This window comes from Homo sapiens, chromosome 4 (assembly GCF_000001405.40).
Source record: "Homo sapiens chromosome 4, GRCh38.p14 Primary Assembly".
NCBI lineage: Eukaryota > Metazoa > Chordata > Mammalia > Primates > Hominidae > Homo > Homo sapiens.
This window is the reverse complement of record NC_000004.12, coordinates 93212232-93227246: the sequence shown is the minus strand read 5'-3', so window position 1 is coordinate 93227246 and position 15015 is coordinate 93212232. Positions and strand designations below refer to the sequence as shown.

The following is a 15015-nucleotide window of genomic DNA, read 5'->3' as shown; positions in this document are numbered from 1 at the left end:
TATATATATAATATTCAGGAGAGAATATCAAGGGTGCAGTCAAGTACTATTTGCTAAAGATATTAACATGGCTACAAAGGAGCGATGTGCTATTTATCAGGACAATAGGAGAAAGATTTAAAAGGAATTTCAAAAGTCTTTGAAGCTGCTGCTGCCCTCACAGTCTCTCGGAAGGCAAAATGATTTCAGGGGATATGCCCAAGGCACTCATCATGGGCTCCCTGTCCAGGGCCACCTAGCAACTCTTCTCCCCTTATTCCAGTGTAACATTCTTCACCTGCCCTAGTTGTGGCTCAAGTGGACCCAGGTAAAGCTTGGGCTGTCATTCTGCAGAGTGCAAGTAGTAAGCTGTGGTATCATCAATATGGTGTTACACCTTCAGGCATACAGTGTAAGAACTCTGGCTATGGATTCCTCCACTAAAGTTTCCAAGGATGTCACAAAGAGCATGAAGACTCAGGCAGAGACTTGTCTCCAGGGTCAAACCACCACAGAGAGCCCGTACTAAGACAATGTTGAGTAAAAATGTGGGTTTGGACTTGCCACAAAGAGTTTCCACTAGGGCAATGACTACTGGAGCTATGGAAGTGGGACCATCCCTAAGACCACAGAACTGTAGGACTAAAACAGCATGTGACTCTAACCTGTGAAAGCTGCAGAAGCTGGGTCCAGCAAAGCCCTGGGAGCAGGGTTGCCTGAGGCCTTGCGGGCCCAATCCCTGTCTCAGCGTATCCAGAAATGAGGACATGGTGTAAAAGGATATTGTTTCTCGGCTTTATGACTTAATATTATTTTTCGTGTTGGGTTTTAGACTTACTTAGGACCAGTTATTGTTCTTTTCTTGCCTATTTCTCTGTTTTGGAATAGAAATGTCTATCCTATGACTGTCCCACCATTGCATTTTGGAAGTAGATAATCAGTTTTGAATTCATAGTTTCACAGCTGGCAGAAATTTGCGTCATGATGAATCATGTGAGTCTCTTCCATATCTGATTTAAATAAGACTCTGAAATGTGGACTTTTGAGTTAATGCTGAAACAAGTTAAAACTTTTGGAACTATAGGGATAGAATGAATATATTTTATATGTGAGCGGGACGTGAATATTGGGGGTCAAAGGATGGAATACTATGATTTTAGTGTCCCCTCCTAAACTCACATTGAAACTTAATTGCTATTGCAATGGTATTAAGGATAGGGACATTGAGGTGATTAGATCATGAGGATGCCACCTCGTAAATAGATTAATGCCCATATAATGGGAGTGGATTAGTTATCCAGGAAGTCTTGGCCCCCTTTTTCGCTCTATCTTGTGCAGCTGCTCAGCATGTGATGCTCTTCTGCCATGAGATGACCCTCTCCAGATGTGGGTGCCATGGTCTTGGACTTCCCAGCCTTGAGAATCATAAGCCAAAAAACTTCCATTTTTTATATATTTCCCAATTTGTGGTAATCAGTTAGAACAGCAGAAAAGGGACTGATACAAGTACCAAGAGAAAGATCCAGGCTATTCTCTATTTAAAATATTTATTTCCTCTACTTCTAGTTTTTGTACACCTAGTTCACTTCTAATATTAAAGTTTTATATTTTACTCTGACTTTTTAAGGGCATTTATATTTCAATTGACTAGCTATTTTTCTTTGGGTTTCAGGAAAGAAAGGAAAATACATGCAGAAAGAAAAAGGATGGGTAAAATACAGAATATAAACTTCCAAATGTCTGTCTCCTTTGTGTAAAGGGTATAGGAGAATTTGTTTGTTTTATTAATCATTTCATTTTAAATCCAAGAGGCGGTACAAGACAAATGGAAAATGTCAAGAAGGATGACATGACAAAGAGTCTAATAAACTGCAGAATGCTTATACCACTGAGAGGAGCTAAACAACATAAACTGCCTTCTGGGAATGGAACAGGTAGCTAAGCCAAACAGATTCACAGCTGGAATAAGCAACACATGGACAGTGAAGAGGAATAATGCAATCAGTTACCCCAAATAGTTCACAAATGCTGCAACATATTATCTACTTATGAATCCTATCCTTATCATGAGATAAATTAAAGGCCATCACATCCAGTGTCTTACCATGTATATTATCTAACTGAAAAAGTGCTAATTAAGTCTACTGTTAATTTTTTTAGTGGATGGCGTGTGTTTTTTTAAAAGCCTTTTGTATTTTGCGACAGGCACCAAAACAATTTCAGTATCTCTAATGCTAATGACATAGTCAAGTGGGTATATCTCAACCACAATTTTTTTTACTTGCTTAAAACTCCCTTATAAATAAATAAGGAAGCCTCCCCTTTTTATATGTTGATGACTCTCTCACCTTTTTTCTTTTTCAATATTTAATTTCCCCATTACACTGTTTTGTGCTTAGAATTTGTAGAAATATTAAAGAGGAAACCCTTTTTCTAAAATATGTCAAATAATTATTTACCATATCCTTTTTACATGAAAATTAAGAAGTTACCTTCTTGATGGTCTCCAACATGGAGCGCCCACCCTGCCAGGGCTTTGAGTTCTTTCTGATACATGACAGACTTGCCATGCTGTGCCACTTTCGGTCCTCCAGCTTCTTATGAAAAGCATTAGCAAGCAGAAGCACCGTGTCATATATGTAAAGGTTGGAAATCTGAAAAGACATTAGAAAGTGATCATTAGAATCATTGACACCAGTCATCAGGAATAAGGAAAAAAAATAATTGTCTCAACTGCTTCTGTTCATGTCATACATGGCTGGTTTACTGGGTTATTAAGCAGAAGGTTTCTTTTGTCATTTCCTGGGCAATTTTGTCATTGAGAATGAAGTCTTGTCTGATTGTATGCCTCAATTGCTTTTTCAGCTTATTTAGGTGTGAAAGAGAAGATTAAAAAAGGAAAGAAAGAAATTTCGACAGAGATAAGGCTGTTAGTGTTAGACCTTAGAAAATCATTGGCCCTTATTTCTCTCTGAGGAGGTAAGAATCTAAGGGTTTAAGATTGGAAGGGCAAACTGAATAATACATTTTCTGAATATGTTAAGTTTTTGCATTCTAGTTATTCAGATGGAAAAATATCAACTTGATTTCATATATGAATGTCATAGGTACCTAAAAAAGAAGTAGTCTACTGTGTGTATTTTTGTGTATATGGAGATTCTTAAATGAAATAATGAAAGAACACAATCTTTTATATGTATTATAGTGATCAAGGATCTATACAAAATTATACAGGTATACACATGCATTACAATTCATTGATTTCACAAATACCATAAACTATTAACTGTTTGTGAATGTGTGTTTACATTAATACTTTCTTCTTCTGAAACAACCATGTTATTAACTTCTTTCTACATAGATTGAAAAATAAATTATAGCCAATTTTTTGCTAAGGTTTTACTGTATTCTTACAATTAAGTTTCACCAGAACTACTATTTATACTGTCAATTAATCACCAAAGGTGCTTATTTTTCAAAGAAGTTAAAAATTTTTTGGAAAACATAATACCAAAAGGAATCCTAGGTCAATAAAAGCTGCTTCATGTTATATTTCCTCTGAAGGAAAAACTCTATATAAAATAAAAAAAATGAGGAATCAATGTAGTGATGAAAATTAATTCCATCTTAAAGCATTTGTGTTTTTCAGATTTTTGAAAGTATATTGTTATCACGGTTTTTCCTAAAAACATACAGGAGACTATATGGATTGTCCTCGGGTTATAATTAATCATGGAGGAAATTTTTAAAATAGTCTACCCACATCACAGGATGGTACTAAGCTTTGGCTATTGAGATAATTAGAGTCTGATGCAATGCACAGCTTTTAATAAGAACTTCCTAACAGTGCCTTGTGAGTTTTCTTTTACATACCATGTAAATCTTCAATCCTTTGTGTTTGTTAAATATCATTTTATATGTATAATACTTGTAGGCCTTTTTTGAAGAGACATTGAACACTCAATGCATTACGTGCAATACAAGTTTGTCCTTCATAAGGAAGTATTAGGACTGGCTATTTTCACTCCCTATCCCAGCCACTCCCCATTTTGCCTGATAATTACTAGATAGACTACAAAAGAATGGCTGAAGTCTGCTATACAGCTAAAACTAGTCCATGAATCAACATTCAGGTTGGAATTAGGCAGTAAAGACCCAACAGGAAAATATAGAAGTTACATGAAGGATACATGCCCAGGGAAATCAAAATAATACACAACCTTCTGGCCTTTCCTAACCCCTCCTGGTTCTACTGCCTGAAACTTGCTTCCTTTTACTTTTCTAGCTTTATTTTACTCTTCCCTTTGGTGAACGTGTATTTAAGATTGTTGGGGTATCATTGATGGACATTTGGGTTGGTTCCAAGTCTTTGCTATTGTGAGTAGTGCCGCAATAAACATACGTGTGCATGTGTCTTTAGAAAATGTGGCACATATACACCATGGAATATTATGTAGCCATAAAAAATGATGAGTTCATGTCCTTTTTAGGGACATGGATGAAGCTGGAAACCATCATTCTCAGCAAACTATCACAAGGACAAAAAACCAAACACCGCATGTTCTCACTCATAGGTGGGAATTGAACAATGAGAACACCTGGACACAGGATGGGGAACATCACACACCGGGGCCTGTTGTGGGGTTGGGGGAGGGGTGAGGGATAGCATTAGAAGATATACCTAATGTAAATGACAAGTTAATGGGTGCAGCACACCAACATGGCACATGTTTACGTATGTAACAAACCTGCACATTGTGCACATGTACCCTAGAACTGAAAGTATAATAAAAATATATATATATATATATTTAAAAAAAAGATTGTTGGGGTAGCATCCCTCACTATCTCCTTACCTTTCTCCAACTAGTTAACATTTCTCAATATTTGGTTCAAAGCTTACATGCTAGGAGAATCCTACCCTGCCAACTTCTGATTTTCTTTCCTTATCCTACACAAGGTTGAGCACCTCTTTTCATCTACCGGAACACACAGTGCATACGTCTTTGAAACATATCAGAATACTAAATTCTTTTTTAAATCTACCTTTTCCACAAAAAAATAAATTCCTCCTGGATGGGGACTCATACTGTACATCTTTTCTCTTCCATTTTTCCCCGTAATTTATTTCTCTAAGACTTAGCCTAGAGCCTCGCACATATTTGGGTTTTGATAAACAGTTGTGAAGTAAAAGAAGACGAAGGATGGAGAGAGGAGAAAAAAAGAAAGTCAATTTTAAAGCTAGGTGTGTTTGGCAGACGTTGAGACACGAAAAATCTGGTAACCTGGGTTCTATCCAAACCTGACACTGCTGGGGCACATTCTCTTTTGCAGACCGTGAGGCATGTATTTTGAGCATCTATGCTAGTCTTAAAGGTGAGTGCTTCGTACCTGTTACATGACAGGCATTTTCAATAAATGACTACGTCTCCTCATTTGTCCACATTCCAAACTGCAGGATCAAGAAGTGGTGGTAATATTCCCTGAGCTTTTCATTACCCCTCCTAATCTGACACTTTTTCTTTTGCAGGCAAGTGCCCATTCTTTGAGCTTCACACTCTTTCCTATGCTACACTTTATTGCTTTTTTCTGTCATCATTAACTGATCTTTTGGTAATTTTATTTTATTTGTAAGGCCTTTGACTCCTCCTTCACAATAATACCAAACTATCTCTCATCATTTTAAAAGGTCACTTCAATTTCTGTACAGATGATCTTCACTTCTACTTAGGCCTCAACCAACACAAATGACCATTTACTGGACAGAAACATACATCACCTCTAAAATCATAGACTCCAGTATGTCACATATGACCAATCATTTCTCCCTACCTTACTGGCACTACACTTATTCTTTGACATCACCAAATCTCCACACTCACCTCCTCTACATGACAAGCTTTCAATATTTGACACCATCTGTGGCTTGCTTTGAGATATCTTTCTTTTAGTTTTCATCACCTGGTATCGTTTCTAGGCTGATCATCTTAGTTCTCTTTCTCTGTCTTTCTCTTGTGTTTCAATGTTTCTGTTAAAAATTTAGTATCCAGAATTGACACATTATTACAGATGTGATCTGACTAGGAGAGAATAGTGTAAGACATTAGATCTCTTTATCTTAGCAAAATTCTTCTGACATAGAGACCACGATTATATTAAAATAGTTACAGCAAATATGATTTGTGTGATACACACACTGAATTTACCTTCAACTTAAGGGATCTGAACAGCTGTCAAACCAGGATTCTTCATGTAATTGATTTTGAACCTATACTTTATCTGTGCTTTTTCAAATTTAGGCTTATTATTCAGTCAACACTAACAATTTGGAACTTGATTATCTAATACAACATAAGCTTTCTCTTCTAGCTTTATGCCATTTACAAATTTGATAGGCATGTTTTATTCATCTTCATTCACGTAGTGATAGACGTTTTAAAAATATTAGGTCCAAGAATAGAATCTTGTGAATGACCATAGACAGTTCCTTGCATTTCAGGAATAGAATGTTTATCACTGCAGTTTGAATATTCATCTGGTTCTACAATCCTCAAACTCTGGACAAAAGAAACCCTGGTGGTAGGTTGTGGATATCAGGAAGTACTCAAAGCCACCGAATACATCTAAGGCATATTCTAGTCATATCAATATTGCTTGAAGATTTGATTGATTTATTTAGATATCAATTTTGTTTGAATATTTGGAGAAAAACAACTAGTTTAATTGGCAAATAATTTGAAGTATTACTTTTAATTGTATATACACAAATGTTATAACTTTTAAAGGTAATAATGAGACTTAAATATTTTTGAGCTTTATTTTGCTTTCTGTCTGAGGCCAGAGTGTTCACTATCTTCTGCCTTTAGGAACCCTTTGGTGAAAATGTTTCAGTGTCATCACTCTGTCAAGACTTTTCAATATCTTTCCTAAGGATTTCAGGTAAAAATTTGTCAAACACCACATAAAAATCAACATGTAACACATAGATTTATGACATTCTCCCAATCTAAAAAAATATATATATATATAAATAAAGGCTTAGTTTGGCAGTGTTTGTTTTTAAGGAAGCCCTGTTGTCTTATCTGAGGTACTCCAAACCATTGATTTAATAATATATTCTACAGTTTATCTACATAGTAACATTTAATATGCTAAACTCCATGAGAATCTTTTTTCCTTCCTTTCAGTAATTGGGACAATACACCAATCTCTTGTACCTTGGTCCTCTTCCTAAGTGTTTCTCCAGTATTTCTGAGCTATCATATTTTGATCGTTCCTGCTGGCTGATTGGCTACTCTGAGCAATTATTTGGCAAGCCTAATTCAAAGCAGTGCCCCTACTCTTGCTATCTCCCTGCTCCTTCTGAACCAGTGGAATATTTTCTTTTAATGAATTTTACTCTAACCTTCCCAATTTGAAGACAATTTTTCTTAGATGGAGAAAGGAGCAAAAGTATTAGAATGTTTCTGTTTTCTCTCCATTAGCAGCCAAACTAACATTAGTTCCACTAAGCAGTAAATGGATCACTTCCTGCTTGTTACATATGTTGCAAAAACACCATTTTCTAGCTAAAAGGTGTTCTTTAATATTTATTTTGCAACTTAAGCTAATCCTGGGTTTCAGTCTTTGGACACTAATTAAAAAATTTGTGAAATGCATTTTCTGTTTTTTCTAAATTTTACTTCTCTGTCTATGTATATTAAAATAGGTAACAGTCTAGAGATCAAATTCTATCATACATAAGAGGGATGTTCACATGTAACAAATCCTCAACGCAAAAGTAGTTTTCTTGTTTTCTTCCATCTGTGGGTTTGACAGGACCAAGATGAAGGTATGAGTCAGGAGGAAGTTGGTGCTTCCCCATACTTTATTGTTTCAGGTAAGATTAGGAATATAGACATAAATAAAATATTTGTTCACAGATATTGAAGTCCTCATCAACTGAAATGGAAAGATTATGTTGTTAGGCAAATATGCTGTAAAATAATTTCTGCTGTCCCTAAATGACACAGTCAATAATTTTTCTTAAGTTTGTATTTCATTTCCTGATACTTCTTTTAACAAACACAACTTTTAATATTTTATAATTTTCTAAATCAAAATTCTTTCCTTTTTTTCTATTTAGAATTCTATCATTTTCACATCAATTATATCCATGACCAGTTAAAATGCAAACATGGGACATTATAAGCATATTGATATGGTTTGGCTGTGTCCCAATCCAAATCTCATCTTGAATTGTAGTTCCCATAATTCCCATGTATCATAAGAGGGACCTGGTGGGAGGTCATCAAATGATGGGGATGATTATCCGTTTGCTATTCTCATGATAGTAGTGAGTTTTCACAAGATCTGATGGTTTTATAAGCGGCTTTTCCACCTTTTGCTCAGCACTTGTCTTACCTGCTGCGATGTGAGGAAGGACATGTTTGCTTCCCCTTTCACCATGAATGTAAGTTTCCTGAGGCTTCCCTGCCCTGAGGAACTGTGAGTAAATTAAACCTCTTCCCTGTACTTTATGGCAGTGTGAGAATGAACTAATACACATATAGATAAGGGTGGAACTGAAATTTAAAGAGATGTTGTTAAGGCTTCAGAAGATTTACTTTGACTATTGCCTTCTCCTTAATTACATTCAAACATATATATTCACACAGATCCAAAGCACTGTGGTAATTATGATGGAGGAAATGGTAGAGAAGCACGTTATGAGTACTTATGATGCTGGGTTCTTGAAGGGACATATCTATTTATTTTGAAATAGGGACTCACTTTGAAACCCAGGCTGGAGGCTGGAGTGCAGTAGCACAATCTTGGCTCACTGCAGCCTCGACCTCTAGGGCTCAGGTGATTCTCCCACCTCAGCCTCCTGAGTAGCTGGGACTACAGGAGGATACCACCACACCTGGCTAATTATTATTATTATTTTTTTCAGAGATGGGGTTTTGCCATGCTGCCCAGGCTGGTCTCAAACTTCTGGGTTCAAGTGATTCTCCCCCTTGACCTCCCAGATTGCTGGGATTGTAGGTGTAGCCACTGCACCTGGCCATGGAAAGGACCTATTCTAAAGGAGCTTAAAATCTAGTAGGCAACAGAAAGTTACAGGGTAATGATCCTGGAGCCAGTCCACGTACTACAGTGATAGTAATTAGAAGAAATGGTTGGATAAATGGCAAATCCTTTTTTAAAAATTCAAAGGTGACTAAGGATAGGGAGGTTGTGGGGTTATTTTTCAGATTAGTTTTGCAAAAGCACCTTATTTATCTAGTATTATTAGAGAGGAACTAGTTTTCCTAGGGTTATATTTCCAAACTGTTAAAACTGAAAATCTCTAAGTACTAAAATGTTTCCTATGGTAAATATTTTAAAGAACAAGTTTCTAAAATATATTAGGTTTTGCTTACTTCTAAGATTGGCCATGACTTTAATATTTGCTAATATCTCAGGGTTATTGTTTAAATATTAACTTATATGCTAGCATTATACTGCAGTGATACCTTTAGGAGTTGTTTTATGGCACAGATTTGTTTTTGCAGGAAGAGTCCTATACTGACAGGTTATATGAGTTAGTTTATCTGATTGATTTTTTTCCCGTCTCTTGCTTAAGAGGGCTCCTTAAGGCTCCCTGCTGTTGTCCTGTGTGCCTGCTTTGTGTAACACCCCCTTCAGATTGACATATTGAGATCTCCAGAGCAAAGTGAAAAAAAAACCACAGAGGCTTTTTCTTAAGAAAAAGAAATAGGCTTCAAGTAAGTATTTAAAGGGCATTCTTATGAGTAAGCTACAGGGACTTGGTGTTCTCTGTTTCGCTGTTCAGAGGTTTTATTTATATCTTTCAAATTCTTTGTTGTATTCTGGATGCTGAAGGTTTCAGCTATATCCTCTCGGAGTTGGATATGACCATACAATTCTACAGCACTTTTTTCATATCTAATTTTTTTTGTTGGAGTTATTCAAACTGGAGACCAATCTTTTTAAAAAGAATAAATATCTATGTCCTTCTTAGGCCAGAAAAGTCAAGCACATTTATTAGTTTAATAATTTAGAGTTTGGAAAAAGGAGTACCAATTACAAATTCTCCTGTGGGAAATGTTATGGACCTACTTGTTTAGAAGAAAATAACCTTTACTTATTATATTTTTTTATTAAGCAAGTAGAAATTTTTCTATAATGAGATCAAAAAGAACAAAGACGCAAATTCTTAGCACTTTCTCCCCATTAGACTTATGAAATTGCTGGAGGAGAATTGTTCAGAAATAACACGTATAATTCTGAATCCAATGCAACTCATAAAGCTCTCCTTGCAATTGCCCAACAAAGCACCCTGGAAGAAATATCCTGTCATTTATAATATACCTCCATATTCTGAGCAAATGGATCCTTTGGATCACACAATGTTGAAGATATTCGATGGTTGCCACGGAAACACCGCTGACTTATGTTCTGGGGAACTGGAAATGTCTGCCGAATAATCGTTAACCTTCCAATTGACCTTCTTACAAGTTCCTGTACGTCCACATCGTTTATTTCCTATAAGATAAGAGGTGGAAGAATTAGAGATACTTTAATACAGTCACAAAACACAAACCTATTATGAGTTGTTATCTGTAAATGTTAGGGATTCTGTTACTGTAATATATTGGTTTTAATGCTTAGTGCATATCTAAATGAAAGCAACATATTTTTGTTAAAATTATCAACTCATTTGTAGTTGCTTTCTATGCTTTAAATTATATACATTAGTGCCTAAACAATGCTAAATGGAGCAATTGTCTTACATATGGTTATTAACAATAAGTTTATAATTTATAATGTTGAACATTGTAGAAACATAGGTGTGGTCAAAACATTTAAAAAGGTCACAAAGTAAGTTGCTATTATAGTTTATTATTAATTAATACTATTACTTTGAGTATCTAGGAAGGTAATTGCCATGTAAGAGTTATACACACGCACATACGCATGCATACATACGCACACATACACACACACACATGCACACACACACATAATTAGCAATGAAAAATTTGGCTTTTAACTGAGGCAAGTAGAGCAAGAGGATATATAAGTTTTTCTAATAATTTATTAGAATTGTTGATGTTAACTCGTATGTTTCTCTTGGTAAGGAATAGATGAAAAATTCTGTTGTTTAATACAATCTGAATCAGGATGAGATGAGAGAGAAACCCAGTGCTCTTTATCTAAATTAATTTTATCTAAACAAATTTTATCTATTCTAAATGGAATTAGGATAAAAGTGATTAAAATAAATTTTAGTTTTAAGGTAGTCTTTACTAGAGAAGTTGGTGCTTAATAGTGTTCATTTGGAACCTTTACAACGAATGAAGTCTTTGTAATTAACATACTATTGGTTTCAATCAATTTTTACGGCAACAGAAATAAAAGATGGGAAACAAAATAAGTTTTGGGTTGCAGTGAGCATTTCTGAGGTTTGATCTAAGAAATTATTACAAAAAAAATGAAAGAAAACAGATAATTCATAGGTGTAAATGTTCTTTTTTTCTTACCAGATTAATTACATATTATTCTTGTAGCATATGTTAGATTCAAAAATCGTCCTTTATATATGATCTTTATGAAGTGTAGATTTTTCTGAAAATAAAATGATGCCTCCCATCAGCTAGCTCTAGTGTAATAGCCTGGATTTCTGGGCATTTAATCAATCCTTAATGTTCCATAAAAATGGTTTTTCTCAGTTTAAAATGCCGTCTTTTTCCTTTAGTCTGTGTCATTTCACTGGCCACCAAAAACTTTGTCTGTCAAAGAGCAGGTCACTTTTAAATTCTATGTAATCTACTCACAAAGTAGGATTAAACGGTATCCTGTCAACTCCATTTGAAGTCCTGATTTTAACCAGACATCTTTTAAAGTTAATTAATATTAATATTGCTATTCAATGTCTTCCAATTTTTTAAATTCCAAATGATACAGACAGGAACTTTCATTTGAAGGCAGTGGAAAATTGTATGACTTTTCTCATAACATTAACTAAGTTGTTTTATGTATATGGTATTTTTTTTTGCTTTAGCAATACTAAGATTTATCAACATTTTATCAAACAGCAGCATCTCTATCTACACCACTCATAATGAACTACAAATCAGCATATTGGATAAAAATTCACATTTAATAAGTATCTACTATATGTTAAGCAAAATACTAATTACTTTATTATCTCATTTTCTGCTAACAGATGATACTCTGAATCAGATGCTATTTATTCTCAGTTTATAAACAAAGATTCAGGAAGACTTGAAGCTCTTCATTCATAATACTCTACTCATAGGATGAATTTATAAATGTCATCAAAAGAAACAGTCTCTGAAGAAGTTATACATGCCCATATTTCCTTACAGGAATTATTTAGATTAATATTTATGAATGGTAGAAATTAAAACTGTAAAGATACATTATTTCAGCATTTAATTTCCTGATGATTCTGGAAGGAATGATGTAGTCATCTATCATGAGCCAAATCCTTTAAGAGGACATTTTTCAAACCCACAAAAAGGGAAAAGGGGTGGTTACCTTTTATAGGTTTCCAAAGATGAAGTTCTCAGGCACCTAAACAACTAAAATATATCTGAAGAAATGTCAGTTTGAATTGAGTGTATTTTGCCTATTATTATTTGGGGAAGGGAAGAGAAAGTAATTTTCTGGGAAGAAAGAATCTGTCATTCTGAAAGAAACTAACAGACAATCTGTCTCAAAAAATTCACTTGCAATTTTAGTCTTGACATGTGATCTCAAAAACAGTTTAACAGTGATATGAAAACTTGATTAGGCAGCTATTTTATATTTACGGAACTTTACTTGCGCATTTCAAAAGGGGCATTTCGAGAGTGGCAGATGCAAAGTTATATAAACACTGAAAGACAAGTGATCATTTAATCTATAAAGAGATCCATTTAAATGGAAAAAAGTCCAGAAATAAACTTGTGTATTAAAATGTTATACAATGTACTAGGATCTATATTATCCTAATGCTCTGAATTTTTTAAAAAATGTTTAAACTGTCAGATTTTTTAAAATAATCATGTGAAGAACTAGTTTACCAATAAAGCACTCACTCTCCCAAGCCCCCAGCACCATTAAATATCTTAATCTTTTAAAAGATATAGAGTATTCCTGAGCTCTAAGTAATTTAAAGAACCCAAATTATAAAATTATTTTCCTTCTTATATTCTTTATTTTATTGAGTATATTCATAAAAGTAGAATTAACATTGCAATAACAAATGATTAAGTATTTTTTAGCGACTTAACTTTTCTATTTTACTTATTTAGGCTAAGGAAGCCTTTTTTCCCAAAAATAATTTACCTAGATACTTGAAAACTACTAAGAATCAAAGTCAATATGTCCGACAAAATATTCTTATTCACTTTGCTTTAATAATTTAATGTCGGTTGAATCCTGAACTGTGAAAGCCCCGAGGAAGAAAAAAGGAATGCTAAAATATCTTCTGGGGATACAACTCCATCTAGAAACAGCCATTTCCCAGAAGAAATCTCTTAGGAGAATTGAATCATTTCTGAATCCTTGTAGTATATCAGCTTTAGGTTGAAATGAATAAGATTGTGGGAAGAAAAGACTCTCAAAATCCATTGGATCAGATGCCAATTTAGACTAAAAATAACAATTTCAGAGGAATAGTTTCCTTTTTCCCATTCTTATACCTCTTAGCATCTAACAAATATTTTGGCTTATAGTAGGTATTCAATAAATGTTGATAAATACAAAATTTATTTAATGAATGAATGGTAAGATTTTATCATCTTCTAAAGACTTATACCTGAAATTTTAATTCTAGACACCAGAATACTTTAAAATGTTAAACAATTCTAAATAAAGAAGATTTTAGTATTAAGATTAAGCCCTCTACTATGTGGTGTTTGTTTCTTATTTGTTTGTATTTTTCATATTTTAGCAAAGATGACCCTTTGATGCTTCCATAAAATTTAACATTAATATGAATCAATTAGGCAAATGTTAAAAAATGGAACAAATCCAACTGTAGGCTATGTACCAACAGGAAGAGAAGCAGGATGGCAACTTTCTACTTGAAAGCTTAGAAGTGAGCAGTTCAATTCATCATTAAACTAGAAAAAATTAAAAACATCCATTACACATATAGGCTTTTTAAATCTCAAAACAACAACAAAACCCCCCAAACTGGCCAGGCACGGTGGCTCACGCCTGTAAACCCAACACTTTGGGAGGCTGAGTTGGGCAGATCACCTGAGGTCAGGAGTTCGAGACCAGCCTGGCCAACATGGTGAAACCCCATTTCTACTAAAAATACAAAAATTAGCCAGGCGTGGTGGCACATCCCTGTAATCCCAGCTACTTGGGAGACTGAGGCAGGACAATCGCTTGAACCCAGGAGGAAGAGGTTGCAGTGAGCCAAGATCGCGCCATTGTACTCCAGTCTGGGTGACAAGAGTAAAACTCTGTCAAAAAAGAAAAAAAAAACAACAAAAAACCAAACCAACAACTTTCTCATTAAATGTAATACTCAGCAGTGATTAACAGAGAATAATGTCTTACACTATTCAAATTAAGTAAAAAGCCAGTAAAGTCAATCAAGACAACAAAGGTCATATTTGATATTATCAGGCAATAGAAGGGTATATGAAGCATTGTGCTTCTTGCAGCTCTGAACAGTGCACGTCTTCCTATCTGAATTTCTAACTTTTGTAAAACTTAAATAAAGTGTTAAGCCATCTGCTTCAGGGCCCTGAAGGGATGACAATACTTGCACGGAAAGGCTGCTCTGAGCTGGATCCACTGATTGCGGGGAGAAGATAAATACTATTACCAAGTACTAACATATGATTGATTACACCATATGAGCTAGCACAGCCTCTCATTATTATAGCACACTTAATGCAAATGAAAAAAATATATTGTTTTCAAGTTTCTACATTAATTTCTATCATGATGCACAATGCCAACTTTGATTTATATTCCCTCCTTTAAAAACTATTGATGCAATAAGATTAAATCAATGTCTGC

The 15015-nt window shown here is 34.7% G+C and overlaps 1 protein-coding gene across 18 annotated transcripts in view; it reads right to left on the bottom strand.

The window, feature by feature from the left end:
* Nucleotides 1–15015, bottom strand: part of GRID2 (glutamate ionotropic receptor delta type subunit 2) — a 1506491-nt gene that overhangs the window by 583210 nt on the left and 908266 nt on the right. For 17 of the 18 annotated variants that reach the window (NM_001440459.1, XM_024454024.2, NM_001510.4 and 14 more), the window contains 2 exons: nucleotides 10336–10509; nucleotides 2472–2633 (listed from right to left, as the gene is read on the bottom strand). In NM_001440459.1, the coding sequence (NP_001427388.1) occupies nucleotides 2472–2633; nucleotides 10336–10509 (336 nt within the window). Of the gene's footprint in view, nucleotides 1–2471; nucleotides 2634–5861; nucleotides 5967–10335; nucleotides 10510–15015 lie in introns of those variants that run through there. The other variant, XM_047450137.1, reaches the window with a different exon arrangement.